General features: G+C 46.1%; 1 long non-coding RNA gene across 1 annotated transcript, besides 4 other annotated features; it reads left to right on the top strand.

Moving 5' to 3' along the window:
* Positions 10,429-10,928: an enhancer, noted in NCBI's record as "H3K4me1 hESC enhancer chr6:169588435-169588934 (GRCh37/hg19 assembly coordinates)". NCBI's record gives its function as "activates a minimal SCP1, AML or CMV promoter by ChIP-STARR-seq in primed H9 embryonic stem cells {active_cell/tissue: H9 hESC(primed)}" and the evidence as "EXISTENCE:reporter gene assay evidence [ECO:0000049][PMID:30033119]".
* Positions 10,929-11,430: an enhancer, noted in NCBI's record as "H3K4me1 hESC enhancer chr6:169587933-169588434 (GRCh37/hg19 assembly coordinates)". NCBI's record gives its function as "activates a minimal SCP1, AML or CMV promoter by ChIP-STARR-seq in primed H9 embryonic stem cells {active_cell/tissue: H9 hESC(primed)}" and the evidence as "EXISTENCE:reporter gene assay evidence [ECO:0000049][PMID:30033119]".
* Positions 13,467-13,966: an enhancer, noted in NCBI's record as "H3K4me1 hESC enhancer chr6:169585397-169585896 (GRCh37/hg19 assembly coordinates)". NCBI's record gives its function as "activates a minimal SCP1, AML or CMV promoter by ChIP-STARR-seq in naive H9 embryonic stem cells {active_cell/tissue: H9 hESC(naive)}" and the evidence as "EXISTENCE:reporter gene assay evidence [ECO:0000049][PMID:30033119]".
* On the top strand, positions 16,528-23,964 carry LINC02544 (long intergenic non-protein coding RNA 2544). The gene is made up of 3 exons (NR_125863.1): positions 16,528-16,584; positions 19,874-19,992; positions 23,597-23,964. It is a non-coding gene; the product is annotated as a long intergenic non-protein coding RNA 2544 (long non-coding RNA).
* Positions 22,535-23,035: an enhancer, noted in NCBI's record as "H3K4me1 hESC enhancer chr6:169576328-169576828 (GRCh37/hg19 assembly coordinates)". NCBI's record gives its function as "activates a minimal SCP1, AML or CMV promoter by ChIP-STARR-seq in naive H9 embryonic stem cells {active_cell/tissue: H9 hESC(naive)}" and the evidence as "EXISTENCE:reporter gene assay evidence [ECO:0000049][PMID:30033119]".
* Positions 23,965-27,757: the final 3,793 nt, after the last annotated feature.

The following is a 27,757-nucleotide window of genomic DNA, read 5'->3' as shown; positions in this document are numbered from 1 at the left end:
TGTAAACCTGCTTATGAGGAAAATTGTAGACTCAGATTACAAGCATCTTTGCACATCACATGTACTCCAGAAATACGTACAATCATTGATCACCAATAAAAAAAAATTTAAGCCAGGCATGGCGGTTCACATGGTGGCACTTTGGGAGGCCAAGGCAGGAGGACTGCTTGAGCCAGCAGTTATAGACAAGGCTGGGCAACATAGTGAGACCCTGTCTCTACACAAAATTTAAAAAATAATTAGCCAGGCATGGTGGTGAGCACCTGTAGTCCCAGCTACTTGAGAGGCTGAAGCAGGAGGATTGCTTGTGCCTGAGAGGTCAAAGCTTCAGCGAGCCATGATTGCACCAATGCTTTCCAGCCTGTGTGACAGAGAGAGACTCTATTTCATAAAAACAAAATTAAAAAAAAAATTTGTATAGAATTTCTAAAATAATTAAAAGTAAGCAAGAAGAGTCAGGAGCAAAGATCACCAGATGCTCAGTTTTCTTGTGAAACAACTTTGCATAGACGACGTATATCAGTTGTAGGCTGCTTATTCACAAGTGGAACTCACAAATAGCCTTTTATACTGTAGCCTCTTTATTGTTTGTTTTTTAACTTTTATTTTAGGTTCAGGGATTCAAGTGCAGATTCATATAGGTTAATTGTATGTCACATGGGTTTGATGTACTGATTACTTAGTCACCCAGGTAATGGGCACAGCACCTGATACGTAGTTTTTTGATTCTCACCCTCCTCTCACGCTCCCCTTCAAGTAGGCCTCAGTGTGTGTTGTTCACCTCTATGTGTCCATGTGTTCTCATTATTTAGCTCCCACTTATAAGTGAGAACCTGTGGTATTTGGTTTTCTGTTCCTGTGTTAGTTTGCTAAGGACAGTGGCCTCCAGCTCCATCACGCTGCTGCAGAAGAAATGCCCTTGTACTTCACTATGGCTGTGTAGTATTCCGTGGTGTGTGTTCACCACATTTTCTTTAGCGTCGTATTCCATGGTGTGTGTGCACCACATTTTCTTTAGTGTCGTATTCCATGGTGTGTGTGCACCACGTTTTCTTTAGTGTCATATTCCATGGTGTGTGTGCACATTTTCTTTAGCATCATATTCCATGGTGTGTGTGCACCACATTTTCTTTAGCGTCATATTCCATGGTGTGCACATTTTCTTTAGCGTCGTATTCCATGGTGTGTGTGCACATTTTCTTTAGCGTCGTATTCCATGGTGTGTGTGTGCACATTTTCTTTAGCGTCGTATTCCATGGTGTGTGTGCACATTTTCTTTAGCGTCGTATTCCATGGTGTGTGTGCACATTTTCTTTAGCATCGTATACCATGGTGTGTGTGCACCACATTTTCTTTAGCGTCGTATTCCATGGTGTGTGTGCACCACATTTTCTTTAGCGTCGTATTCCATGGTGTGTGTGCACATTTTCTTTAGCATCATATTCCATGGTGTGTGTGCACCACATTTTCTTTAGCGTGGTATTCCATGGTGTGTGTGCACATTTTCTTTAGCGTCGTATTCCATGGTGTGAGTGCACATTTTCTTTAGCGTCGTATTCCATGGTGTGTGTGTGCACATTTTCTTTAGCATCGTATTCCATGGTGTGTGTGTGCACATTTTCTTTAGCGTCGTATTCCATGGTGTGTGTGCACATTTTCTTTAGCGTGGTATTCCATGGTGTGTGTGCACATTTTCTTTAGCGTCGTATACCATGGTGTGTGTGCACCACATTTTCTTTAGCGTCGTATTCCATGGTGTGTGTGCACCACATTTTCTTTAGCGTCGTATTCCATGGTGTGTGTGCACCACATTTTCTTTAGCGTCGTATTCCATGGTGTGTGTGCACCACGTTTTCTTTAGTGTCATATTCCATGGTGTGTGTGCACATTTTCTTTAGCATCATATTCCATGGTGTGTGTGCACCACATTTTCTTTAGCGTCATATTCCATGGTGTGTGTGTGCACATTTTCTTTAGCACCGTATTCCATGGTGTGTGTGCACATTTTCTTTATTGTCGTATTCCATGGTGTGTGTGCACATTTTCTTTATTGTCGTATTCCATGGTGTGTGTGCACATTTTCTTTAGCGTCGTATTCCATGGTGTGCGTGCACATTTTCTTTAGCGTCGTATTCCATGGTGTGCGTGCACATTTTCTTTAGCATCGTATTCCATGGTGTGTGTGTGTGCACATTTTCTTTAGCGTTGTATTCCATGGTGTGTGTGCACATTTTCTTTAGCGTGGTATTCCATGGTGTGTGTGCACATTTTCTTTAGCATCGTATTCCATGGTGTGTGTGCACCACATTTTCTTTAGTGTCGTATTCCATGGTGTGTGTGCACCACATTTTCTTTAGCGTTGTATTCCATGGTGTGTGTGCACCACATTTTCTTTAGCGTTGTATTCCATGGTGTGTGTGTGCACATTTTCTTTAGCGTGGTATTCCATGGTGTGTGTGCACATTTTCTTTAGCGTGGTATTCCATGGTGTGTGTGCACATTTTCTTTAGCGTTGTATTCCATGGTGTGTGTGCACCACATTTTCTTTATCCAGTCCACCGGTGATGGGCATTTAGGTTGACGCCGTGTTTGCTATTGTGAACAGTGCTGCAATGAACACATGGGTACATGTGTCTTTCTGGTAGAATAATTTATATTCCTTTGGGTATATACCCAGTAATGGGATTGCTGGGTTGAATGGTTAAGTTCTTTGAGAAACCACTAAATTGCTTTCCATAACATCTGAACTAAGTTACATTCCCACATGCGGTATGTACATGTCCTCTTCTCTCTGCAACTGTACCAGCACCTGTTATTTTTTGGCTTTTTAAAAATAGCCATCCTCAATCATTAAAAAGTCAGGAAACAACAGGTGCTGGAGAGGATGTGGAGAAATAGGAACACTTTTACACTGTTGGTGGGACTGTAAACTAGTTCAACCATTGTGGAAGTCAGTGTGGCGATTCCTCAGGGATCTAGAACTAGAAATACCATTTGACCCAGCCATCCCACTACTGGGTATATACCCAAAGGACTACAAATCATGCTGCTATAAAGACACATGCACACGTATGTTTATTGTGGCACTATTCACAATAGCAAAGACTTGGAACCAACCCAAATGTCCAACAGTGATAGACTGGATTAAGAAAATGTGGCACATATACACCATGGAATACTATGCAGCCATAAAAAATGATGAGTTCATGTCCTTTGTAGGGACATGGATGAAATTGGAAATCATCATTCTCAGTAAACTATCACAAGAACAAAAAGCCAAACACTGCATATTCTCACTCATAGGTGGGAATTGAACAATGAGAACACATGGACACAGGAAGGGGAACATCACACTCTGGGGACTGTTGTGGGGTGGGGGGAGGGGGGAGGGAGAGCACTGGGAGATATACCTAATGCTAGATGACGAGTTAGTGGGTGCAGCGCATCAGCATGTCACATGTATACATATGTAACTAACCTGCACATTGTGCACATGTACCCTAAAACTTAAAGTATAATAATAATAATAATAAAAATGAAAATAAAAATAGCCACCCTGCCTCATGTGAGTCAACTCAAGATAGATTAAAGGCTTAAATATAAAATCTATAGCTATAAAAACCCTGGAATATAACCTAGGAAATACCACTCTGCACAAAGTCCCTGGCAAAGATTTCATGACAAACATGCCAAAAGCAATTCCAACAAAAACAAAAATTGACAAATGGGACCTAGTTAAACTAAAGAGCTTCTGCATGACAAAACAAACTATCAACAAAGTAGACAGACAACCTACAGAATGGGAGAAAATTTTTGCAGACCACATCTGATAAAGGTCTAATATTCAGAATCTATAAAAAACTTATAAGCTAAAAGTAACCCCATTAAAAAGTGGGCAAAGGCCATGAACAGACACTTTTCAAAAGAAGACATACATATGGTCAACAAACATGAAAAAAAGTTCAACATCACTGATCATTAGAGAAATGCAAATCAAAACCACAGTGAGATACCATAACCTCTTTATAATAAAAACTTTCATTACACTTTCAGCAGGAATAAAGCTAGGCCACGGGTGTTTGGAAAGGATACATTCCAGGCCTCGGTAGCGTGCACGGCACTTTCCCCTTACCTTAGGCAGTCAGGCATCTTGAGGCCCCTGTCTCTTGCCAGACCCAGGGAGAGGTGGGAGGAGCACAGACAGGAGCCTCTAAGAAGGAATAAAATGTGGGACCCTTGGAGAATTTGCCTAGGATAAACCAGTGTAGGGTGGATGAGCTCAACCATCACAAAGGCAACTCCCATGCAATAACCTCTGAATGGGACACTAAAGAGTTTAAGAAACACCCAAATCTTAAAATGTCCTGGGTGTAACTTTCCAATGGAATGCACTTTCAAAACTTAAATATGCTCCATTGTAGCTGACTCGGGAAAAAACAAAACAAAACAAAACAAAACTGTGTTACTGGAAAAAGGATGGCCTGCCCTAGGGCTGAGGGCTAGGGGGAGGTGGAGAGTGAGGGTCCGAGCCCAGCTGCAGGGGAGAGGGCTTCCCATAAGGCCCATGAGCATCTGTGTGGGAGTGCTCTCTCGGGCCTGGATGATCATGGTTTCATGTTGATGAAAGTATGATAATTATAGCCTTGATAATAATACAATTAGTTTCCTTGTGTTTATTCTCTAACTATGAAGAAAACTTTCATTGGGCTTTGTCTTAAAGCAGAGCATTGGATCTGAGCTTGAGGTCAAGTCATTTTTTTTTTGGAGGTGACCCCAGGAAGCTGAACCCGGGAGCAGGGAACCTACAAGAGAGATTTAAAGTGTACATTATTGAGTTGGTTACTGCTGTGGGCAACTGAAGCTCAATTTTCCCAGGATCCTGTTGAGGAACCAGGAAGAAATGTTCAGCTGAAGGAGTCTGAGGCATTTATTCATCAGCTCACCTCCCACTCCCTCACTCTCCATGCCTTTAATTGCCCATAATTCTGGGCTGCCTCCACCTGTAGGTTTAGAAAATGTGAGAAACACAGTGTTTACTTGAGGTAGGATGCCGTCAAGAGTGATAGGAATGTCCATTGTCACTGTAGCTCACACCAGAGCTCGTCAAAAAAGACACAGTCCAGGGAACTAAGAGTGTCTGTGATAGGCAGACTCTCCTGGAAAGGGAGACAGCTCTGATGGGGGCTCCAAGCTGAGTCAGGGCAGAGCACATTTGTGCATCTACATCCTGGTTTCCAAGCAGTTCTCCTCCAAGAGTGGTTGGTGCTCAGCAAAGACCTCTGAGTGGACATCTAGGACTACAATGATGTGATCAGGTGCTGAGAATGTTCTCTGGTCTCTAAGCTGTGTTTCTCCCACTTTCATCCAAAAGAGCTAGAATCCAATGTACCTAAATTAGAAGAGTCTTCCGAGAGGTTCACCATTTTGAATTCAAGACGGCATCTCATATCACAGATTGAGATTCCCTGGAGAGCACAGAATCTGTTTTGCCAAAAAGATTACCCAGTTGTTGGAAGGGGCTCTGCGTGATTTGTTGAGGAACACTGACCACCAGAATAAGGGAACAGGAATTGATTACAGGCAGCAAGAATGACGCTGGAATGGGTGTCTGTGCAGCTCCTGCCACCTTTCCCGCTGTGCACAGCTCCTTTTGCATCTGTACTCCTCTCCTCTCCTTTGGAGCAGTGTCCTTCTTGCAATTCTTCAGCATTTCTTCATTGGCAGAGTCCGCAGGTTCCCCACTGGGATGAGCCAGGGAAGAGATCTCTTTACCTCCTGCTTCTCTTTGCATAGAAGCCAACAAAATTGGGATTTGAGGAGAGACTGTTCTGTCTGGAGATAAGAATGTTAATGGCACCTCAGGAGAGCGTGTTTCCCAGGGACTGCTGAGCACAGATGCTGAGAACTGGAGTTGTAGAAAAAGGGGTGGAGGAGAGGTTAGGGAGGTCCGTATGCACCACCTGCCCTGAAAAAGTTCATCATGAAAGACGGAGGAAATACAGAGTGGGCTTGGGGAAGCAAAGGCATAAAGCCCATTATACAGGAAGATGGGGAGATGAGAAGAGGAGTGGGCAGAGGAGAATTCAAAGGAGCGGAAGGTGGAAAGAGAGGGAGAGAAACAAGGAAAACTGGGAAGAGGAGTGGACAGAGGAGAATTCAAAGGAGCGGAAGGTGGAAAGAGAGGGAGAGAAACAAGGAAAACTGGGAAAAGGAGTGGACAGAGGAGAATTCAAAGAGCGGAAGGTGGAAAGAGAGGGAGAAAAACACTTCTCTGATTCTGAGGCCATGATCAAGGGTTTGGTCACCAGGGTTCGGTTTTAGGAAAAACAGATATGTCATCTTCTGAGCTGCTGCTGAGGAGAGAATTGGGTTCCAAGGGCAGAGGGAGCTCATTGAAAGGAAGAAGCAGGCACTGGAAGGACATTCCAGATGCACCAAGAGCAGTGACTTCAGTCCGCTCCGGGCACATCTTCCAGCCGAGAAAAGGAGGCGTCCCAATGCGCAGCCATGATTATCTCCTCCTAGGATGACACAGATCATGATTATCTCCTCCCAGGGTTAGGTGGAGCCATGATTATATACCCTAGGATTACGCAGGGCCATGATTATCTACCCCAACGATTACACAGGGTCATCATTATCTACCCCAAGGATCACACGGGGCCATGATTATCTCCCCCAGGATCACACGGGGCCATGATTGTCTCCCCCCAGGATCACACGGTGTCGTGATTATCTCCCCCCAGGATCACACGGTGTCGTGATTATCTCCCCCCAGGATCACACGGGGCCATGATTATCTCCCCCCAGGATCACACGGTGTCGTGATTATCTCCCCCCGGGATCACACGGGGCCATGATTATCTCCCCCAGGATCACACGGTGTCGTGATTATCTCCCCCAGGATCACACGGTGTCGTGATTATCTCCCCCAGGATCACACGGGGCCATGATTATCTCCCCCAGGATCACACGGGGCCATGATTATCTCCCACCAGGATCACACGGTGTCATGATTATCTCTTCCCGGGATCACACGGTGTCATGATTGCCTCCCCTAGGATCACACGGGGCCATGATTATCTCCCCCAGGATCACACGGGGCCATGATTATCTCCCCCCAGGATCACACGGTGTCATGATTATCTCCCCCCAGGATCACACGGTGTCACGATTGTCTCCCCCAGGATCACACGGGGCCATGATTATCTCCCCCGGGATCACACAGGGCCATGATTATCTCCCCCCAGGATCACACGGGGCCATGATTATCTCCCCCCCAGGATCACACGGGGTCACAATTGTCTCCCCCAGGATCACGCGGTGTCATGATTATCTCCCACCAGGATCACACGGGGCCATGATTATCTCCCCCGGGATCACACGGGGCCATGATTATCTCCCCCCAGGATCACACGGTGCCATGATTATCTCCCCCCCAGGATCACACGGTGTCACGATTGTCTCCCCCCGGGATCACACGGTGTCATGATTATCTCCCCCCAGGATCACACGGGGCCATGATTATCTCCTCCTAGGTTTATGCAGGGTTGGGGCAGGGTCAATGTCAGAAATAAAAATGGAGCAAAAGGGGGTTTCCAGCCAGGCCTTCAAAACTAATAGGAAATTTGATACCAGAGATCATCAGTCATTGGTTTAGAATCTTTGTAACTTTTCTGTCTCAATATCCTATTTGTTTATTGTGTTTAACAGTAAAATGATGTAAAGAAAAATTGCTATCAAAATATATTCCAGATGAAATGAAATTATATTTGAAGCATCAGTCAAATATAAAAAGAAAAACGACCTATCTCACTACTTTATGTTCTTACTTAACTCTAACAACAAGTGAGCTGGTGCAGGTCAGTGGAATTACCATCTTCTGCAAGCAAAGGCCCTAAGAGGAGGCGTAGAGGCCGAGTGAATGGTATAAGGTCTTAAAGCAAGTCGGTGAGGGGCCAGGATCCTTAACTTTGGTCCCTGACTCTTAGGCAGCTGTTACAACCTTTTCCTTAAAAAATCATTCATGCACGAATGAAAGTGAATGTTTGTACAAAGCAGGCACTATTATGTAATGAGAGGCACAGGGTTGGGACACGCGCTGTAGGTCTGTGTGACTCCAAATCATTCAGCTCTCTGGAAACTCAGTTTTCTCATCTGTGCGGCAGGTCTGCAGAGACAGGGTGAGAATTTCAGGAGGCCCACAGTGGGTGACCAGTGTGATGGCTTTTCTGTCCTCCCTTCGCTGAATTCCTCTTGGTATGCTAACAACTCCACACTGACTGTTATCAGGGCCACATTGGGGTTTCAGAGACCGTATCTACTGTTTTATGGCCAGAAGTAGAAATTTTTGAGTTATGTTAGGTCCATTTTAGTTGTAGCCACTTTTGTGTAGCTTTTTTTGAGTTTGGGTTTCTCTTATAGTTTAATATGCTGCAAGTTTTACACATTTTAATAACATTAAGTTATGCAGTATTAAACTTTTCATAGTGTTCTGCATATTTTCTTTTAGTTTTAAAATTGAAATAGTCTTCAACATTTTAAATCCAGAATTCTTATTCAGGGAAAGCTCCAAACCCAGAAATAACTATTACATTTTGTGCCAACATATGAAATAAAAATATTTCTTTGAAAAAAATTAGCAAATCATTTGTGGTTCTCTTAATGGCTAGTAAGAATATGTCTAGCTTTTACTTGATTATGAAATGGAAAATTGCAACACTTGCCTTAAATAAGTAATATAAATTTTGCCAGACACTAAGATCCCAAATTTCCCAGAAAAGCTCGATAACGATGACCCAAGGCAGGAAGAACTCAGATTCCTACGGTTGGGCTGCTTTTGGCTGCACACAGGGCTCCCACAGGCATGTCTGGCGCGGTGCTGAGGTCCACTGATGGGGGAGAGGGAACTGCCCGGGGGAAGGGCCGGGAGGTGCAGGGCTTTGTTTGGGACTGGTGCAAATCAGGGCCCGGGAGACACTGGGCAGGACCAGAGCATTCATGTCTGAGCTTCAGGGCTTGGGAAGCTGGAGATGGGGCAGCCCCAAGCTTGATGCTCAGCCTGTCCTAGGAAGCCTTGCTGTGTGTGTGGGAGGGTGGGGTTGAGTATTATGAAGGTGGATGAATCCCACAGTGAGGGAGTAACTGCATGTGGCCTTAGAAAATATTTTGAAGTCAAATAATCATGAAAATGTATTAATTCACTCACTCAACCCTTCTGCCATATTTTGTTCATGCCTGTGGCATCCCAGAGACTCTCTAGGTAGGGGGCTGTGGTGTTGACAATGCAGGCTAAGGCCCTGCCTGGTGGCTCTGAGGCTCACAGGTCCTGAGGAGTGAGGAGGATGTGAATAGAGTAGGGACGAATTCAGGGCTCAGGATTTGGTACTTTCCCAGAAACTCTTTTACAGAGAAGCATTCCAACATTTGGCAAACAACGACAACATTCGACAACCACAAGGGAAGGCCACACAGGAGCGTGGTGCTCCGGCTTGGGGACGTAACGGGTCCCACAGAGCTGCTTTTATTAACGATAAGGAATTTCACACCCCTGTGTTTGCCCATGAGAAGCAGAATATTGTCTGATGTGCTGAGTATCACACACATATTTTGATCCTCTTAACTAATTATTTGAATAATGAAGCCCAGAAAATGAAAGGAGTAAATAAATTCCACCTTGCAAAAAATACAATTTTGCAGTTTACAAAGTGTTCCAGTGAAGCTATGGGATCCCAAATCAACTCCTGCACCCCTGCGCTCCCTAGCCCAGGAGCTGATGCTCTGCCCAGCACACCCCACCCGCGGCTCAGCTGCCATTGTGAGTGTCTCTTTGCCCTCGGTGATGAGTGCAGCACCTGCCTTTCTGTGTAAGCTACGCTGAAGTGCCCAGTAGGATTTCTGTGAGAGGGAAATATGCAAAACCCCATTGATGTCTATTCCCAGTGATCGAGAAGGAAAAAGGCTCACTGTTCCAGGAGGCTGCACAAGTTTTTCTGTCACCTTAATTGATGTGTGTCTAGTGTAACATTTCCAACAGACAAAAAATATGGGAAACGTTGCACTTTCTTCGTTCTAGCCCCACAATGTATACCATGTGCTACTGTGAAACAGAACTTCTGTGAAAGGACTCCTGGCTGGGCGTGGTAGCTCATGTCTATAATCCCAGCACTTTGGGAGGCTGAGGCAGGTGGGTCACCTGAGGTTAGGAGTTCAAGACCAGCCTGACCAATATAGTGAAACCCGGTCTCTACTAAAAATACAAAAATCAGCCAGGTGTGGTGGTGCATGCCTGTTATCCCAGCTACTTAGGAGGCTGAGACAGGAGAATTATTTGAACCTGGGAGGTGGAGGTTGCAGTGAGCTGAGATGGCACCACTGCACTCCAGCCTGGGTGACACAATGAGACTCCATCTCCAAAAAAAAAAAAACCTCTGTGAAAGGACTCCTAAGCAGGTGCTCAAGGAAAACAAGCTCGCCCCTTACTTTGCAGCTGCCGAGTGAGTCAGCGACTCACACCATTGTCTGAGCCTCTGGTTTAAAAGCTGAGGTTTACCGTGAATTATGACGTCACCAGAGTCCATGTGGTTTTGATATTTATAAGTAAAATTCTCAAAATGTGAGCTTCCTTGGTGTCATGCTTTGCTGTCGCTGGGGACCCTTGTGGGTAGCACTGCAGGGAACAGCTGCAAACCCACTGCTCACCTGTCTCCAGACTGAGCTGTCAGTCTTCCTCTGGCATTCTCCCTCCCTCCCCTCCAATCCAGCCAGTCTCCAAGGCCTCCTGGGACACTGGGGCTCAGTTTCCTTCCCTCCAACCCCATGGCCACTCTGCAGCTTGGGGCAGAGGCAGTGGGCTTCCCGCTCCCAGGCCTACTTCCCTCCATTCTCTACCAGCAGCTGGAGGGATCTTCTGAAAACAAAGCTCTGAGTGTCTTCTCACCTCCTCAAAACCCTTCAAAACCTCATGTGACTCAGAGAGCACCTACAGCGGTCCCCAACACCCCGGCAGCACCTCCTCACTCACTGTTGCTGGAGGCAGCCTCACCAGCAGGCCTCGTTCATCTCCGTGAGTGTCCAGAGACGCCCCCTCGCCCCATGCTGTCTGCTCTGGATGGTGGAGGCTCTTCCCTCTCCAGAGCTCTCCTCTGTGTGGAGGTCGGGCAGCTGTGGGAGGCACCAGCCACGTGCTGTCCATGGCTGGTGGCCTTCTACTGGGGACAGGGATGGGGGACAGGGGGATGGGGGACAGTGACAGGGGGGACGGGGAGCGGGGGGACAGGGTGACAGCCTGCCCGCAGCTTTGCGGTCATTTGCAGGGTTTACATTTGCTCGACTCTTTTGACTTTTTAAATCTTTTTTAAGTGCATGGCTGTGTTGGGTTCACAATTATTTGAATAAACAATCGTTCAATTAGTTTAGTTTTATCCAGTTGTTGCCTATCAGTGGATGTGTGATCTAACACAAGCTTATACAAGGAGAATTTGCTCTTCGTTACTGTGTTAACAGTATTTCTTCTACTTATAAATAGATTAATCCAGTAAAATGTAGAGAGGCGAGAGAGAGCTGAAACTAAGGTCTGCTGAGTGTTTAACTTGAACACGCTCTTATTTGGTGGCTACTTTTAAACAACTCCAGAAATTTAATAAATTACTCTGGATAAAAGGTTGCTTCCTGTTTCTAAGGAGCTGTCCCTCTTTAGATCAACATTTAAACTTACATTAAGATGTATACTTCTTGGGGTAATTTAAAGTTGAGCTGAGATTCTCTTCTGGATAAGCAGGATCACCAGGTCGGGATGGCTTTTCTCTGCTCTTGGTTCTGCTCACGTTTTGCCACATTGGAGAGTTTGTTCTTGCAACCGTCCATAAGTAACTTGTCTGCTTTCAGAGGTTTTAGCTAAATTTCTCTTCATAAAATCATTCTAGCAAATTTATTATGCAAATGGTATAAGGGATTAGCTTTGCTTTTTTTTGTACTTTAAATTATTCTGTCATCTTTCTCTTACAGTACGTGTCCCGTAGCACCTAAATAAATTTCTATCTCTTATACCTTTTGTTGTGAATACATGTTTTGGTCTAAATACATATAATTGCTAAGTTTTGTTGATTTGGGACTAGTTTGTGTTCAGAGTGGTGGAGTCAATGTGAAGTCTCCCGGGTGTGAGCAGGTGCCGTGCAGAGGCTGCACGGGGCTTCCCCGGACCTGCTCTCCAGGATGCCCACCTCGTCAGGCTCACCCCCACCACACCTGAGCTTCTGTCCGTGGAGGTGGTTGAGGCGGCTGGTGGGTGGCGTGTGTGTGGTCATGGCCCTGTTCAGTTACGCTGTCTGTTCTTAACTTCTGCCACATCCTCCTTTGGCCTTTAATTTCGTAAAGGTTGTTGTGGGTGGAATGTTCTGTGGTCCATTTCTTTCCACCTCAGAGCTACCCCTGGACCTGATGTTTTTGTGTAAATGCTGGTGCTCACTCTGCGGCCATCGTAGGGTTTGCTGAAGATGGTGGCGTGTGGCCGGGTCAGCAGCAGCCGGTGGGGGCTTCAGGGTTTGTTGATGGCACAGTGGGCTCCTCCGAGGAAGCGAAGCGCTGCCCTCAGTCCCGGCTGCTGCTGGCGGCACTCGGGCCGGTGACTGCTCATTTTATTGAGCTCATGGCAAGGCGTAGGGGGTGGCTGACCGCAGCCTGGGTCTTAGCTGTCATGCTCAGAACACACTAAAGTCACTTTCACAGTTTGTTTTTATTTTAGCGGTAGCTTTTCATGGCTTAGTTGGGGTTTAACTTTATTTGTGTATAAACTTAAGCACGCTTTACACTGGGCTTTATTAATTTGGGTTAAGCCTATGGCCATGGTGGCCGGCACGAAATTTACCAACCCTAAGGAAAATGACTGTAGCTTCTCACACTTCTGCTTTACCACCACATCTCTACCTCCGCTGTTTCCCGCAGGGCCGTGGCGGAGTGGGGAGCTAGGAGCTGCTCCTGAGTGAGCCTACGGCCCGTTGCTTTGGGTCTCCTGCGAACCTAGAGGCCTCCGTGCAGGAACACAGGTACCTGGATGCGTGGCCTCGCAAAGAACTCATGAGGAGGCCAAGACCAGGCTGTGTGCTGATGGTGTTGCATGAACTCAGGCTTGGTCAGTGCCTGGCTTCAGTGATGTCAACGTGTACTCAGAGGAGAAATGGCTGAGCTTCGGTTCTATGTGAGTATCCTGGGCTTTCTTAGTAATCATAGTAAGAAACAAAACAAGTTTTAGTCCAAAAAGCCTAATTTTGAGTGAATTTTTCTGGCAAAGCAGGCTGTGGCCTGTAGGGGCCCAGCTCTGACGTCACAGCAGGTGACACAGGTCAGAAGCAGCCTCCTTGGAATGGATTCAGCGTGCTGGGGCCGCCTCCCTGCCACCTCGCTTGGCCGGGCATCACCACGGCACACAGTGAGGGACCTTCTGATCCCGGTGGCAAGGGCCGTGTCTCCAGCCTGCCCCTGTGGCCAGCCCTGTGCACCTCTTTCTTTTTTCTTTTTTCTTTTTTTTTTTTGAGATGGAGTCTCGTTCTGTCGCTCAGGCTGGAGTGCTGTGGTGCGATCTGGGCTCACTGCAAACTCCGCCTCCCGGGTTCACGCCATTCTCCTGCCTCAGCCTCCCTAGTAGCTGGGACTACAGGCTTCTGCCACCACGCCCGGCTAATTTTTTGTATTTTTAGTAGAGACGGGGTTTCACCATGTTAGCCAGGATGGTCTCGATCTCCTGACCTCGTGACCGCCTCGGCCTCCCAAAGTGCCGGGATTACAGGCATGAGCCACGGCGTCCGGCCCTGTGCACCTCTTTCATTTCAGGTTTCCAGCGCATTGAAACAGTCTCTGACACCACTCTGGAGAGAGCAGAAGCCACGCTGGAGTGACCGGCCCTCTCGGACCACAGGGGTGGACATAGCGGTGGCTGTGGCAGCCTCAGTTGGCCACCTCCCCATTCACCCCACGTGCTCCCCATGGCCTCTCTCTGGCACTATTAACAGCACTGACCCCACGAGTGGGGAGGGTCCCTGCGAGTACAGAAGCCCCTCCCCACCGTTCAGCATGGACAGCCAGTCCGGTACAGCCCCATTGGTAAGAGGCTTGGGAATAAAGGGTGATACCGGGGGGTGGGGGGCTGAGGGTCTCTGACCTCTGTGGGGACGCAGTGGGTGCCACAGTGATTGACACGTCCAGCTGGGCCTGCCGGCTGTGGGACACCCTAAGGCATCATGAGGTTGCTAGTTTTGGCAACAGAGAGGAGAATTTGTGGAAATGGGGTGCCGTAGAAGAAAAGTAGACTGGGCTTGGTCCTCACAAAGGAATTGTCGACTGTTCCTGGTAGAATTTTAACCCTTATATTTGGGAAAGGGAGCAAGGAAAGATAAAATCTCCTAACTGGTCAGGCGACTGCCTGGATGGACTGCTAGGGTTGGTTTTTCGGTCTCAAATGTCCCTGAAGGAGTTGGAGGGTTGGTGTTGACAGAGCCCCTGCTGCTGGCATGAGCTGGGTATCCTGATCCTTGGTTAGAAGCTGTTTCTGTTGAATGATATCCCAGAACTATTAATTCTGGAAGCTTGAAAACCACTTATGTAATGTCTTCAGAGCAATATTAAGGGCTGGTCTCCACAGGAGAAATCTGGGCCACAGTTACACAGGATCCCACCCTGTTTCCAGGGAGCATTTGCCTCTTAGCATTTGTTAAGAAGAAGTTACAGTTTATAGCTTGAAAAATATAAGGATGGCGAATGAGATCAATGGGATATTTCAGCTTTTCTCCGATTCTCTGTGAAACCTTTCCTTGTCAGTTTCCTGTGAATCCCGGGAAACTTTCCTGAGAAAATAAAATTAATACACAAGATAGACACATAAAATTAATGCATAAATTAACACACATGGAGATATTTATGAAGCATAGAGAAAACTTTATTGCCTGAGGCATGTGCTCCAGAAATGTGATGTGGACTAAACAGAAAGACAGAATGCCGTCTGAAAGGCCGCCTCCACGTTTAACAACTGGCCTTCGATGAAGAAAGATCTTCCAGAACGTAAATTTGCCTGGTATTAATTAATAGGAAGAGTTAATAAGACAATATAGAAGATCATGAATGCCAAATTTTGCTGATTGTAGCACGATAAAACTTTTTCTCATTGTAGCAGTAAATAAAAAGTGTACCATCAGGAGAAATTCAGAGCTGGGTTTAGATGAAAGAAAATGTCATCAATAGCATGTCCCAGGATGGAGCCTTTCAAGCCAATTATGTAAAATTCTCTTGTAGAAAGTTAATGTTTATTCATCCATATTATACGCATTCTTTATTAATTTTATTTTGATGGGATAACAGATAAGATAAACAGTGCCTTTTCAGATGTCCTCATAACTAGAAGCCTTGGACAAGGGCTCTCTTGTTTCTCATCATACACCATTGTAATAGCGTGATCATCTCGGCACATCTCCTCTGGAAAGGTGGAAAAGATAAGCTCGCCTTAAAACACTCATTTCCCAAATGGCATGTTTTTACCCTCTGTGGTTTGGATCGGGTTGCTGGGAGGGGGAAGTTCTTATAGGTGAGTGTCACGGACAGGAACGTCAATATCAGGAATATTTGTTAGCCACATAGAAATAATTTTCATCACTTCCACACATATTATTTTATGTCATCAGTAGTTTCTGTTAACTTCATCAGGTATTATCATCAAATACAGTAGGTGATTAAAGAGGGTGCACCCATCTACCTGGGATGCCCGGTGAGGCTCAGCATTCACCCAGACTCACAGGACTTGCGAGGCGGTGCAGGATGGCAGGCAGGCTGCCTTCACATCTGGGCTCTTCCTCAGCGTGATCCACCCCACATCTCACTGAAGCCACGGAACACAAGACACCAACCTACGGACTCGTCAGCTGGAGGTTAATCTAGTGAGAAACACCATCTGTGGCCACTGACTAGAGACAGAATTCAAAGATCCTCTGCAAGGAGTTGCTCTTTGGAATTTGTCTAAACGCTGCAGAGCCCATTCCTGTTTTAGATGACAGGTCTGTTAGCATCAAGGCCCTTAGATCTGGGAGAGGGACCTAAACCTCGGTGTAGGCAGAGGGAACTCGGGAGAGCAGCGATGCTGCTTTTATCTCCCCTGATTTGCTGCTATGAAGGAAGGGCTTTCCATCTTGCAGGCACAAGTTAAAAATCACTACCAACCTTTTTTCAATAAAATTCAAAATTCCTTTTCACTGTTTCCATAGACTTTACAAAGCCACTTTGTAAGACTGACAACAAACAATAGCTTTTAAAATAGTTTTGGCCCTGATGTGGTTTGGCTCTGTGTCCCCATCCAAATCTCATCTTAAATTGTATTCCCATAATTCCCAAGTGTTGTGGGAGGGACCCAGTGGGAGATAATTCCATCATGGGGGTGGTTTCCCCCATACCGTTCTTCTGGTAGTGAACAAGTCTCACAAGAGCTGATGGTTTTATGAAGGGTTTCTACATTTGCATCTTCCTCATTTTCTCTTGCCGCCGCCACATAAGAAGTGCCTTTCACCTCTCATCATGATTCTGTGGCCTCCCCAGCCATGTGGAACTGTAAGTCCAATTAAACCTCTTTTTCTTCCCAGTCTAGGGTATATTTTTATCAGCAACATGAAAACAGACTAATACAGTAAATTGGAACCAGCAGAGTGGGGCGTTGCTGAAAAGATACTCGAAAATGTGTAAGTGACTTTGGAACTGGGTAACAGGCAGAAGTTGGAACAGTTGGGAGGGCTCAGACGAAGACAGAAAAATGCGGGACAATTTGGAACTTCCTGGAGACTTGTTGAATGGCTTTGACAAAAATACTGATAATGATATGGACAGTGAAATCCAGGCTGAGGTGGTCTCAGATGGAGATGAGGAACTTGTTGGGAACTGGAGCAAAGGTGACCTTTGTTATGTTTTAGCAAAGAGACTGGTGGCATTTTGCTCCTGCCTGAGAGATTTCTGGAACTTTGAACTTGAGAGAGCTGATGTAGGGTATCTAGGAGAAGAAATTTCTAAGCAGCAAAGCATTCAAGAGGTGACTTGGGTGCTTTTAAAGGCATTCAGGTTTTTTTTTAATCTATCATTTTATTTTATTTTATTTTTAATTTTTTTATTATAGTTTAAGTTCTAGGGTACATGTGCACAACATGCAGGTTTGTTACATATGTATACATGTGCCATGTTGGTGTGCTGCACCCATTAACTCGTCATTTACATTAGGTATTTCTCTTAATGCTATCCCTCCTCCCTCCCCCCACTCCACGACAGGCCCCAGTGTGTGATATTCCCCACCCTGTGTCCAAGTGTTCTCATTGTTCAATTCCCACCTATGAGTGAGAACATGTGGTGTTTGGTTTTCTGTCCTTGTGACAGTTTGCTCAGAATGATGGTTTCTAGCTTCATCCATGTCCCTACAAAGGACATGAACTCATCCTTTTTATGGCTGCATAGTATTCCATGGTGTATATGTGCCACATTTTCTTAATCCAGTCTATCACTGATGGACATTTGGGTTGGTTCCAAGTCTTTACTGTTGTGAATAGTGCTGCAGTAAACATACATATGCATGTGTCTTTAGAGCAGCATGATTTATAATCCTTTGGGTATATACCCAGTAATGGGATGACTGGGTCAAATGGTATTTCTAGTTCTAGATCCTTGAGCAATTGCCACACTGTCTTCCACAATGGTTGAACTAGTTTACAGTCCCACCAACAGTGTAAAAGCGTTCCTATTTCTCCACATCCTCTCCAGCACCTGTTGTTTCCTGACTTTTTAATGATCGCCATTCTAGCTGCTGTGAGATGGCATCTCACTGTGGTTTTGATTTGCATTTCTCTGATGGCCAGTGATGGTGAGCATTTTTTCATGTGTCTGTTGGCTGCATAAATGTCTTCTTTTGAGAAGTGTCTGTTCATATCCTTTGCCCACTTTTTGATGGGGTTGTTTGATTTTTTTCTTGTAAATTTGTTTAAGTTCTTTGTAGATTCTGGACATTAGTCCTTTGTGAGATAGGTAGATTGCAAAAGTTTTCTTCCATTCTGTAGGTTGCCTATTCACTCTGATAGTAGTTTCTTTTGCTGTGCAGAAGCTCTTTAGTTTAATTAGATCCCATTTGTCAATTTTGGCTTTTGTTGTGATTTCTTTTGGTGTTTTAGTCATGAAGTCCTTGCCCATGACTGTGTCCTGAATGGTATTGCCTAGGTTTTCTTCTAGGGTTTTTATGGTTTTAGGTCTAACATGTAAGTCTTTAATCCATCTTGAATTAATTTTTGTGTAAGGTGTAAGGAAGGGATCCAGTTTCAGGTTTCTACATATGGCTAGCCAGTTTTCCCAGCACCATTTATTAAATAGGGAATCCTTTCCCCACTTTTTGCTTTTGTCAAGTTTGTCAAAGATCAGATGGTTGTAGATGTGTGGTATTATTTCCAAGGGCTCTATTCTGCTCCATTGGTCTATATATCTGTTTTGGTACCAGTACCATGCTGTTTTGGTTACTGTAGTAAATGCATTCAGTTTTAAAAGGGAAACAGAGCATAAAAGTTCAGAAAATTTGCAGCCTGACAATGTGATAGAAAAGAAAATCCCATTTTCTGAGGAGAAATTCAAGCCAGCTGTGATACTTGTATAAATAACCAGAAGTCGAATGTTAATCTCCAAGACAATAGGGAAAACGTCTCCAGGGCATGTCAGAGACCTTTGCGGCAGCCACTTCCATCACAGACCCAGAGGTCTAAGAGGAAAAAATGGTTTTGTGGGCACTGAGCTGTGTGCAGCCTAGGGACTTGATGCCCTGTGTCCCAGCCGCTCCAGCCATGGCTGAAAGGGCCAATGGACAGCTCGTGCTGTGGCTTCAGAGGATAGAAGCTCCAAGCCTTGGCAGCTTCCACGTGGTGTTGAGCCTGCAGGTGCACAGAAGTCAAGAACTGAGGTTTGGGAACCTCCACCTGGATTTCAGAAGACATATGGAAATGCCTGGATGCCCATGCAAAACGTTGCTGTAGGGGCGGGGCCCTCATGGAGAACCTCTGCCAGGGCAGTGCAGAAGGGAAATGTGGGGTCAGAGCCCCCACATAGAGTCCCCACTGGGGCACTTCCTGGTGGAGCAGTGAGAAGAGGGCCACCATCTTCCAACCCCAGAATGGTAGATCCACTGGCAGCTTGCACCGTGAGCCTGGAAAAGCCACAGTCACTCAATGCCAGACCATGAAAGCAGCTGGAAGGAGGCTGTATCCTGCAAAGCCACAGGGGCAGAGCTGCCCAAGACCATGGGAACCTCCCTCTTGCATCAGCATGACCTGTATGTGAGACCTGGAGTCAAAGGAGATCATTTTGGAACTTTAAAATTTGACTGTCCCACTGGATTTCAGACTTGCATGGGCCCTGAACCCCTTTGTTTTGGCCAATTTCTCCCCTTTGGAACTGCTGTGTTTACCCAATACATTTACCCCAATTGTATCTAGGAAGGAACTAGCTTGCTTTGGATTTTACAGGCTCTTAAGTGGAAGGGACTTGCCTTGTCTCACGTGAGACTTTGCATGGTGGATTTTGGGTTAATGCTGAAATGAGTTAAGACTTTGGGTGACTGACTGTTGGGAAGGCATGATTGGTTTTGAAATGTGGGGACATGAGATTTGGAGGGGCCAGGGAAAGAATGGTATTGTTTGGCTCTGTGTCCACACCCAAATCTCATCTTGAATTGAACTCCCATAATTTCCACATGTTGTGGGAGGGACCTGGTGGGAGATAATTTGAATCATGGGGGCAGTTTCCCCCATACTGTTCTTGTTATAGTTAATAAGTCTCAGATCTGATGGTTTTATCAGGGGTTTCTACTTTTGCTCCTTCCTAGTTTTTCTCTTGCTGCTACCATGTAAGAAGTGCCTTTCACCTCGTGCCATGATTATGAGACTTCCCCAGCCATGTGGAACTGTTAAGTCCAATTAAACATCTTTTTCTTCTTAGTCCCAGGTATGTCTTTATCAGCAGCATGAAAACGGACTAACACAGCCCTAACAGAGCATGTGCTGTTTTTATCCAGTTGACAAATGCACACCCCAGGCGTTTCAGGGGACTGAAGCATTAGAACCTGTGCAGTGTGTGTTTATTTGTTGTTGCCCACGTTTGGGCCTGGCACTGGCACCGGGGAGAGGAAAATCCACTTTTACCCACAACCTTCCCAGGGCTCCCCCACCGAGTGCCAGCAACGGACATAGCTAAGCCTCAACTTCTCTGCCCAGGAAACCAGCCCTCGGCACCCACTGTGCTCCAGGACCTCTCAGCAGGAGGTGCTTCAAGTTGAAGGGCTGACTTGTCCTGTCCCTGCTTCAGTGGAAGTCAGATTAAAATGTATACCAGAAGGACATAGAATATCTACCTGGGACGAGAGGCCCCAAAGAAGAACGAAAAACCAAAACCAAAACAAAAGGAACCTGTGTCATTGGGTATTTAGAGTTGACCACATGGCTTTTGCTGGCCTGTGTCTCATGCTTGGGAGCACTCAGCTCTGTGGACGCGACAGCTTCAGGGTGTGACCCAGGTCTTATTACTGCTGGGTGTTAGGAAGCAGTGATGGCTTCCTCCAAAAACAAAGACTTCCTATAATTTCTTCCTATGTGTGAGGTGGAAACCCAATGTCTATATTTTCTATCAGTTACAAAAAAATTACTATTTTGAGATCCTGACTAAATCTTTACCAACAATGTAAAGAAGGACTTAATTCTTGTTTAGAAACCAAAAATCTACCCAAATAACCAATTTCCAAATTACATGAGTCTAGTTGTTTTGTCTTGGTTTGCTTTAAAAGGATAATTTTTCCATATCTATCAAGAAGTCTAATATACAGTAGGTGATTAATAAATGTTTGTTGAATAAATGAATGAATGAGAGTGTGATATATACTGTTAGAGACATTGTATTTTGTCAGTATCAATGATATTTATGATACAAGACAAGGCATTTTACTTCTGCCTTTAGAGATGAATTTAATTTATCGTGTATTACCATCATATTTATAAAGCCCCTTTCCATCTCTGTGTAGGGCAACTCAACACTCTTTATCAAGAGCAATCTGTGAATTTTGAAGAAAGAACAGACATCAGAAAAAGGAAATCTCCATCTAAAGATAAATTCACCTAAAATTGCCTAGAACATGATGAAAACTCATGCTTTGCTCCCTGGCTATAAGCATTTCTCTTGGGGTGGTTGCACATTTTACTTTCTGGCTTCCCACCGCTAGGATGCATGCCACACTGAACTTAAATTCCGTGACTAACTGCCATGCACAGATGTCCTGGAGACGAATACACACCAGAAAATATGCCAAGTATCAAATTCACACAAAACATTATAGAACTAGCAAATATTTGCTGCTTTTGGCTGTGTTGGAAATTATCTTCTGTGAGATAAATCTTTTGGCTAAAATATGATTTTTAAAGATTCTCAAATGTTCGAGTCTTCATTTCTGCATTAATTAAATTAAGATGGAGCCAGCGTCTCTGAGAAAGCTCACAAGCTCTTAACTCACGAGGTTGCTCCGAAGTATCTCACTCTGTTTTTACTCATCCTCCTGCGTGGCAAGGAAGAGAAAGAGCCAATAAATAAATGAAATAAACGAACAGTCCTTCAGCCTCAGGCCCAGAACGGAGGTCTCAAGCTTGGTAGAAAATGGGCTGACCAAGAAACCAAGACATGGTGTCTGAAGCACATGGACACCTACAAACAAGAGGCCTGTTCTTTCCCACTGGCCCACAGGGGCCCCAAAGTCTCGCATTTAGACTTTAGGCTCTTTCCTCTTTGTTAAACATATATTGTTGTATTGGTCTTAGAGTTTTATTTTGCTCTCTATGAAGACAATGCCTGTAACCATCTGTTGTATGTAATAGAATGCCACAGTTACTAAAATATGCAAAAATTACTAGACGCAGAAAGGTGAAATTAAAAATCCGTATTGTAGTAGCCACTAAAAAGAAGTCCTACTTCTATCTCCCATTTGCATTAACCCATTTGTGTATTTATTAACTCATTTGCCTGACAGGTACCGCACATTTCCTGTGTGACTTCAAAGCTGTTTCATCTCAATTCCCTTCTTCTCCAATTTGATTGAGGGGCTCTTCTAAGCCTTCAGCACCCAACTCAGTTCTTGTTGAAACACCGCCCGCCACTCTCGGCAGTCCCTGTGTTGAATGGTGGAGCAGCCAAAGTGGGTTCTGAGAGCCCGCTGCACCCCTCTGCAGACCCCCACCCACCAGCACCCTCCTCCTGGCCCTCAGAGGCCCGGCCTGTCCTGCTTCAGTGCAGTGACCCCAAAGCCTCCTCCCTCCAACGGGACACCTCCAGTAACCCCCCTTTTCCTGTGTGTTCCTTTCTCCTGGGATTTGCCCTCTCGCAGAGCATAGGCAAGCTCCAGCCTCTTCTGCTTCTGAAACCTCTCCTGGACCCTGCAGCCTCCTCCCTCTGACCCTGTCCCTGCCATACTGCTTCTGGCAGCTCCTGCAGGCGTCCCCTTGGTCATGCTTTCCAGATGTTCCCCCAACTTCTGCCCACACGGGGCTGAGGCTTCACTGGAGCTCAGGGACGCCCCACAGAGATTCCTGCTGCTTCCTCTCAAGGCCTGGGCACCTCCTGTGACTTCGGGGACAGAGTTCCTCCTGCCTCCCAGACAACCCGCTCTTTCCTGCGCAGGGCTCGGTGCCCTGCAGTTAGTACTTCTTTGTACCCCGCTGGCCTCTTTGCAGCGAGCTGCTTTCTTCAGCCTCCACTCTGCATGGCGAGTGGCTGTCGGCACAGGATGCCCACAGGCAGATCCATCTCAAGCCAACGCCAAACCCCCCTCCCCTTGGAATAAGCCCATCTTCCCACACCTTATTCCCACCCACCACTGTCAACTGGGGGATGTCAGTCACCCCAGCCTCCACCAGGCCCCACATCCTGATGACTTCATTTTGAAAATTTAAAATTTTCATATTTAAATTTTAAACTAATAACTTTGTAATTAGGGATAAAACTCAAAACCATAAAGAAAGCAAAATTAAATTATCCCAATTTTACCACCCAGAAATCACTAATGCCAATGTTCAGTAAGCATTATCACAAACCTCTCCATGAATGGGAAAGAATAAAAGAAGGAAAAACACATTTAAAAATGTGATTATACCATAAATGCTAAAATATAACGAAGTACAGAATTTTAAATGAATTTGACCAATAAAACAGGGACCTGGACTATAAATAAAGGAGAACTGTCCTTTGCAATTACAAAAGAAATGAGAGCTCCCAAAATACAGCTCTAAAGTTCGTCAAAATATTAACAAAAACGTGAGGAAGATGGAACTTTTTAAAACCCATGGTTCAGGTTTAGGTCACACTTAGGGCCCCTGGTTCCGAATGGGAAAATCAGCATCTGTGGACGCTCTTTTATCCCCTCTCTTCCCTAAGCTCAGGTTGTGTACACGTGTCCAATACATTTCCTATGATCAACATTTTTTATGTTAGTTCCATATTTAAATGGCTTCAGATGTTTTTCTGTAGTTCAATCTATTTTGACGCACTTCCTGTTTCTGACCTCTTCATTCAGGTTGTTCTCATTCGTGGCTGGATCACACCAGCAAGAAGGATTTTAAAGGACAACTCCTTGGGGCCGTCCAACACTGAAACCGCCTGACCGCTGCTGTCTTTGTGCTTGCAGAAAATCACGGTGGGCACAAAATTTTGGACACGATTTCGAGAGCGTGAGAGCTACTGTTCACGAATCCAGGGCCAGCCTCGTGTCTGTCTTCCTTTAAAGCACCTGGCTTGGTACCTAAAATGTTCCTTTTTTTTTTTTTTTTGAAATTCAATAACTTCAGAACAGGCGTTGATGTAGACAGATCTCCATCTTTTTGGTTTTTTGAGTGAGTTTTTGCTCTGTAGGCTGAATTCTTTGGAATTTAGTTCTGAAATCACCCTATTGTTGAGTATTCGTTTCCTAGCCATCTGCTGCTGTCTGCCTTTCTCTGCAACCTTGGTGGGTCTGACGAGCAAGAAGAGTGTGGGCAGCAAAGCCTCGGGGAAAGCCCAGAGCAGCAGAGCAGGGGTGGAAGGAGCAGAGCGGCAGGGGCGGAAGGAGCCGCCGGGCAGGGGCGGAAGGAGCAGAGCGATAGGGGCGGAAGGAGCCTCGGGGCGGGGGCGGAAGGAGCAGCGGGGCGGGGGCGGAAGGAGCAGCAGGGCAGGGGCCGTAGGAGCCGCAGGGCAGGGGCGGAAGGAGCAGCAGAGCAGAGCAGGGGCGGTGGGAGCAGCAGGGCAGGGGCGGTGGGAGCCGCAGGGCAGGGGCGGAAGGTGGCGGTGGGGAGAGGGAGATGTAGAGCGAGGAGCTGGGGTGGCTGTAGGGGAAACCTAGGGGCATGTTTATCATTGGTAAGAGTAGGGGGAGCAGAGCTTGAAACATTTATACAGTAGTTTTTAGCTGATGGAAGAAGGAAGATAATTTCGTGTCACATTCCTGAAAGCTATTCAAAATGGAATCTCACATCACATCTGAGACAGTAAACAAACGTTCACCATGGAATAGAATTTGAAACAAAAAATACAAATAGCTTCCTTTATGGAATACCTACTGCATGTCTGGCCATGTACCAAGTGTTCTGCAACATTTATGTTATTTAAACTGCCCAGTACTTCCATTGCTTCTCCTTTACAGATGGGGAAACTGAGTCATCAGGGAGGTGATTAGCGTGCAGAGGGTCACATTGCTGGTAACTGGAAGGGCCTGGATTTGACCACAGGTGTTTTATGACAACTCCAAAGACAAAAAATCAATACATATAGTTTCAACAAAAAGAAAATAATCTAATTTTAGTATTCATCATTGATAAAATGAAATGTTTTGAGAAAAACAAAGCAATGAGAAGAATCTGAGACAGAAACATAGAGGTTCTGCCTTGCACTCACCTGGGGCTCTGGAGTGAGATGAGACGGGGCCAGAGCCCCTACCAGCTGTGTGGCCTTAGGGAGCCTCTGTAATGATTAAAGTCATCCAAGTAAGAACTCCACCAACACCCAGAGGGCACTTGCCAGGTGCCAGGCCCCAGGCTGTGGGCTTTAGTCCTGTCATTGTTACCCCACTTTCTCCCCAGGTACTGAACATGCCAACCTCACGGGTTAGTTGAGAGAAGTGTGTGGGTATTCCCGGTCAAACACTCAGCCTAGGGCCAGCCGCTAGCAGCATTCCACTCTGATGACTGCAGGGACGTGGTTCACATCCATAAAACCAAAAGGTGAGGCCCATGTTTGAGTTTTCACAAAACGTACACACCCCAAGTCCCTGTGTCTCCAGTGGTGGAGATGCAAAAGCATGCTTCTAAACACACCCGCCCTCAGGTGACACGGAGACGTGGGCCTCCCCATCTGGAGGTGCGGACAGATCCCACAGTTGGGTAGAGACGCTTGGGTTGGAGGAGCTGGGCCTGGTGTTAGAGCAGCTGGGGTTCTGGAAGCGTTGCCACTGTGCAGGGAGAAGACGTGGAGAAAGCCGAGGCCGCCCGAGACTGAACCTGGGGAACAAGTAAATAACGGAGGCGCCAGGTGGAGGGCAGGCGACAGCGGAGGCTGGGGCGGTGCACGGGAATCGGGAGGGTCAGGGTGCTCAGAGGACATCCTTGCTTAGTGGAAGCCACAGGATTTGCCGGGAATAAGCGGAAAGTAAAAACCATACCCCCTTCTAACAGGGTGTGCGTGCTGCTGAGAGACTGACTATCTGTGTCACTCCCCAGCACAATTTGGTAGTAAGAATTGAAGTCTTTTTCACCTTTCACAGCATCAAACAACACTGAATTATTAAGGTGATGGGGTTTCCAGATGGTTCTGTGAGAGAGAATGTAATTCAACCAAAATGGAGGCCCACCCTTCACCTCAGCTGGTGAAGTGCGGATGAGAGAATCGCAGGCTCGGGCTTGAGGCTGGTCAGGGGGGATCCCGTGGTCCACACCCCAGTTTCAGCAGCTCCTAAAGTAAAAATGTGCTTGAGGAGAGCCCGCCTGTCTTTGGGGAAGCACAGTGGAACTCTGGAGGCTGGATGCTGGCTGTCGCCTCAGTCGCTCTCTGTGGTACCATCCTCAGCAATTCGCTTAACTCCTCCGAGGCACAGTTTTTCATCTGCCATGTGGGGCTAGAGTCCTCCCCCACAAATGAAGCAATGCACACAGAAGTCTCTGCTGGCTTCAAGAGCCAAGCAACTCTTAAATCCTCTCACTGGTAAAAACCTTTTATAAACAAGATATTTTAAAATAATTCAGTAGTTGGTCTTCACTGAATACTATTTATTTTCTCATTTATCCAAAGGGAGAACATGTTTTTGAAAGATTATAAAAGGTCGCAGTGCAGTATTGAAAGCAAATGGCAAGATGATGTATTTTCAGGAGATTATAAAATAATTTGAGCTTTTAAAATATAAAGTATAGGCCTGAACCTAAAAGTATAATTTGGCCAGACAGAATTGCGGGGGGTTTGCCCACTCATCCGGCATTTTGCAACATGAAACCAACCTCCCTCTCTCTGTTTCCTGCCCTCTCGGCCCCGTGGCCACACCAATGGTACAGGCTGCCACGCCTGCCTTGCCTGGGCTGACTTCACAGCAGGAGAATGTGCCTCCGTGTTCTCTGCAACGGGCCTCCAGGGCACAGCCTCCGGGAACACCAGGAGCTTGAGGCACAACAGTTACGGGCAACTCAAAATGCTCGCCAGTCTGACATTGGGTGACCCCACCGATGTCACGGCACCCACTCTCTTCCAAGTGACCCTTGGCAATTAATTTTTCCAGGACTCATCCGTCCAAAATCAATACAAAGCAAAAAATAAGATCTTTAACCTTAAAATGCCATTAAGCTTCTATTATCCTAATCTCCACTCTCAGACTCCTAGAAGGCGGCCATGTGTCTGCCCTGCCTCCTCACACCTGCTTACCCCTTACCTCGCTACGGGATCTGGTGTTCACCCTGCCCTTCTAACACAGTCTCTACAGGCTTGTCAAGGTGTAGTCCCCTGACAGGCAGCATCAGTGCCATCTGGAAGCTTTTATACAAAAAAACCCAAAACCCAGTGCTTCCCAGACCTCCGGAGTCTGCCTTCACATGCAGGATGTTTGCGTGACCTGTAGGCAAACTAACATTTGGAAAGCATTGTCCAAGAACATGAATAACCACTCAGTCACCAAACACAACAGTATTTTCTGAAGCCGTCTCCTCAAGTCATTTGTTTTGTTTTGTTTTGTTTTCGAGATGGAGTCTCGCCCTGTTGCCCAGGCTGAATTGCAATGGCATGATCTCGACTCACTGCAACCTCTGCCTCCCAGGTTCAAGCAATTCTCCTGCCTCTGCCTCCCGAGTAGCTGAGATTACAGGTGCCCGCCACCACGCCCGGCTAATTTTTGTATTTTTAGTAGAGACGGGGTTTCGCCATGTTGGCCAGGCTGGTCTCGAACTCCTGACCTCAGGTGATCCACCTGCCTCAGCCTCCCAAAGTGCTGGGATTGCAGGTGTGAGCCACCACGCCCGGCCTCTCCTGGAGTCATCTGTCGTTTGCAGGACTGGCCTGTGAGTGGCCGTCATATTTGTGAGTTGTCGCCTCCTGAAGCTCCCCGTCCTTTCTGGGCTACTTTTCTCAGTGTGCTGCTGCATTGCACGCTCTGTTGCTAAACATCTACTTATTCCTCCTCTCCAATTCTATTTTTTTCTATTTTCTATTTTCTATTTTTTTCAGTTAA

The sequence above is a fragment of the Homo sapiens genome, chromosome 6 (assembly GCF_000001405.40).
Source record: "Homo sapiens chromosome 6, GRCh38.p14 Primary Assembly".
Lineage (NCBI taxonomy): Eukaryota > Metazoa > Chordata > Mammalia > Primates > Hominidae > Homo > Homo sapiens.
This window is presented reverse-complemented; position numbering and strand designations above follow the sequence as displayed.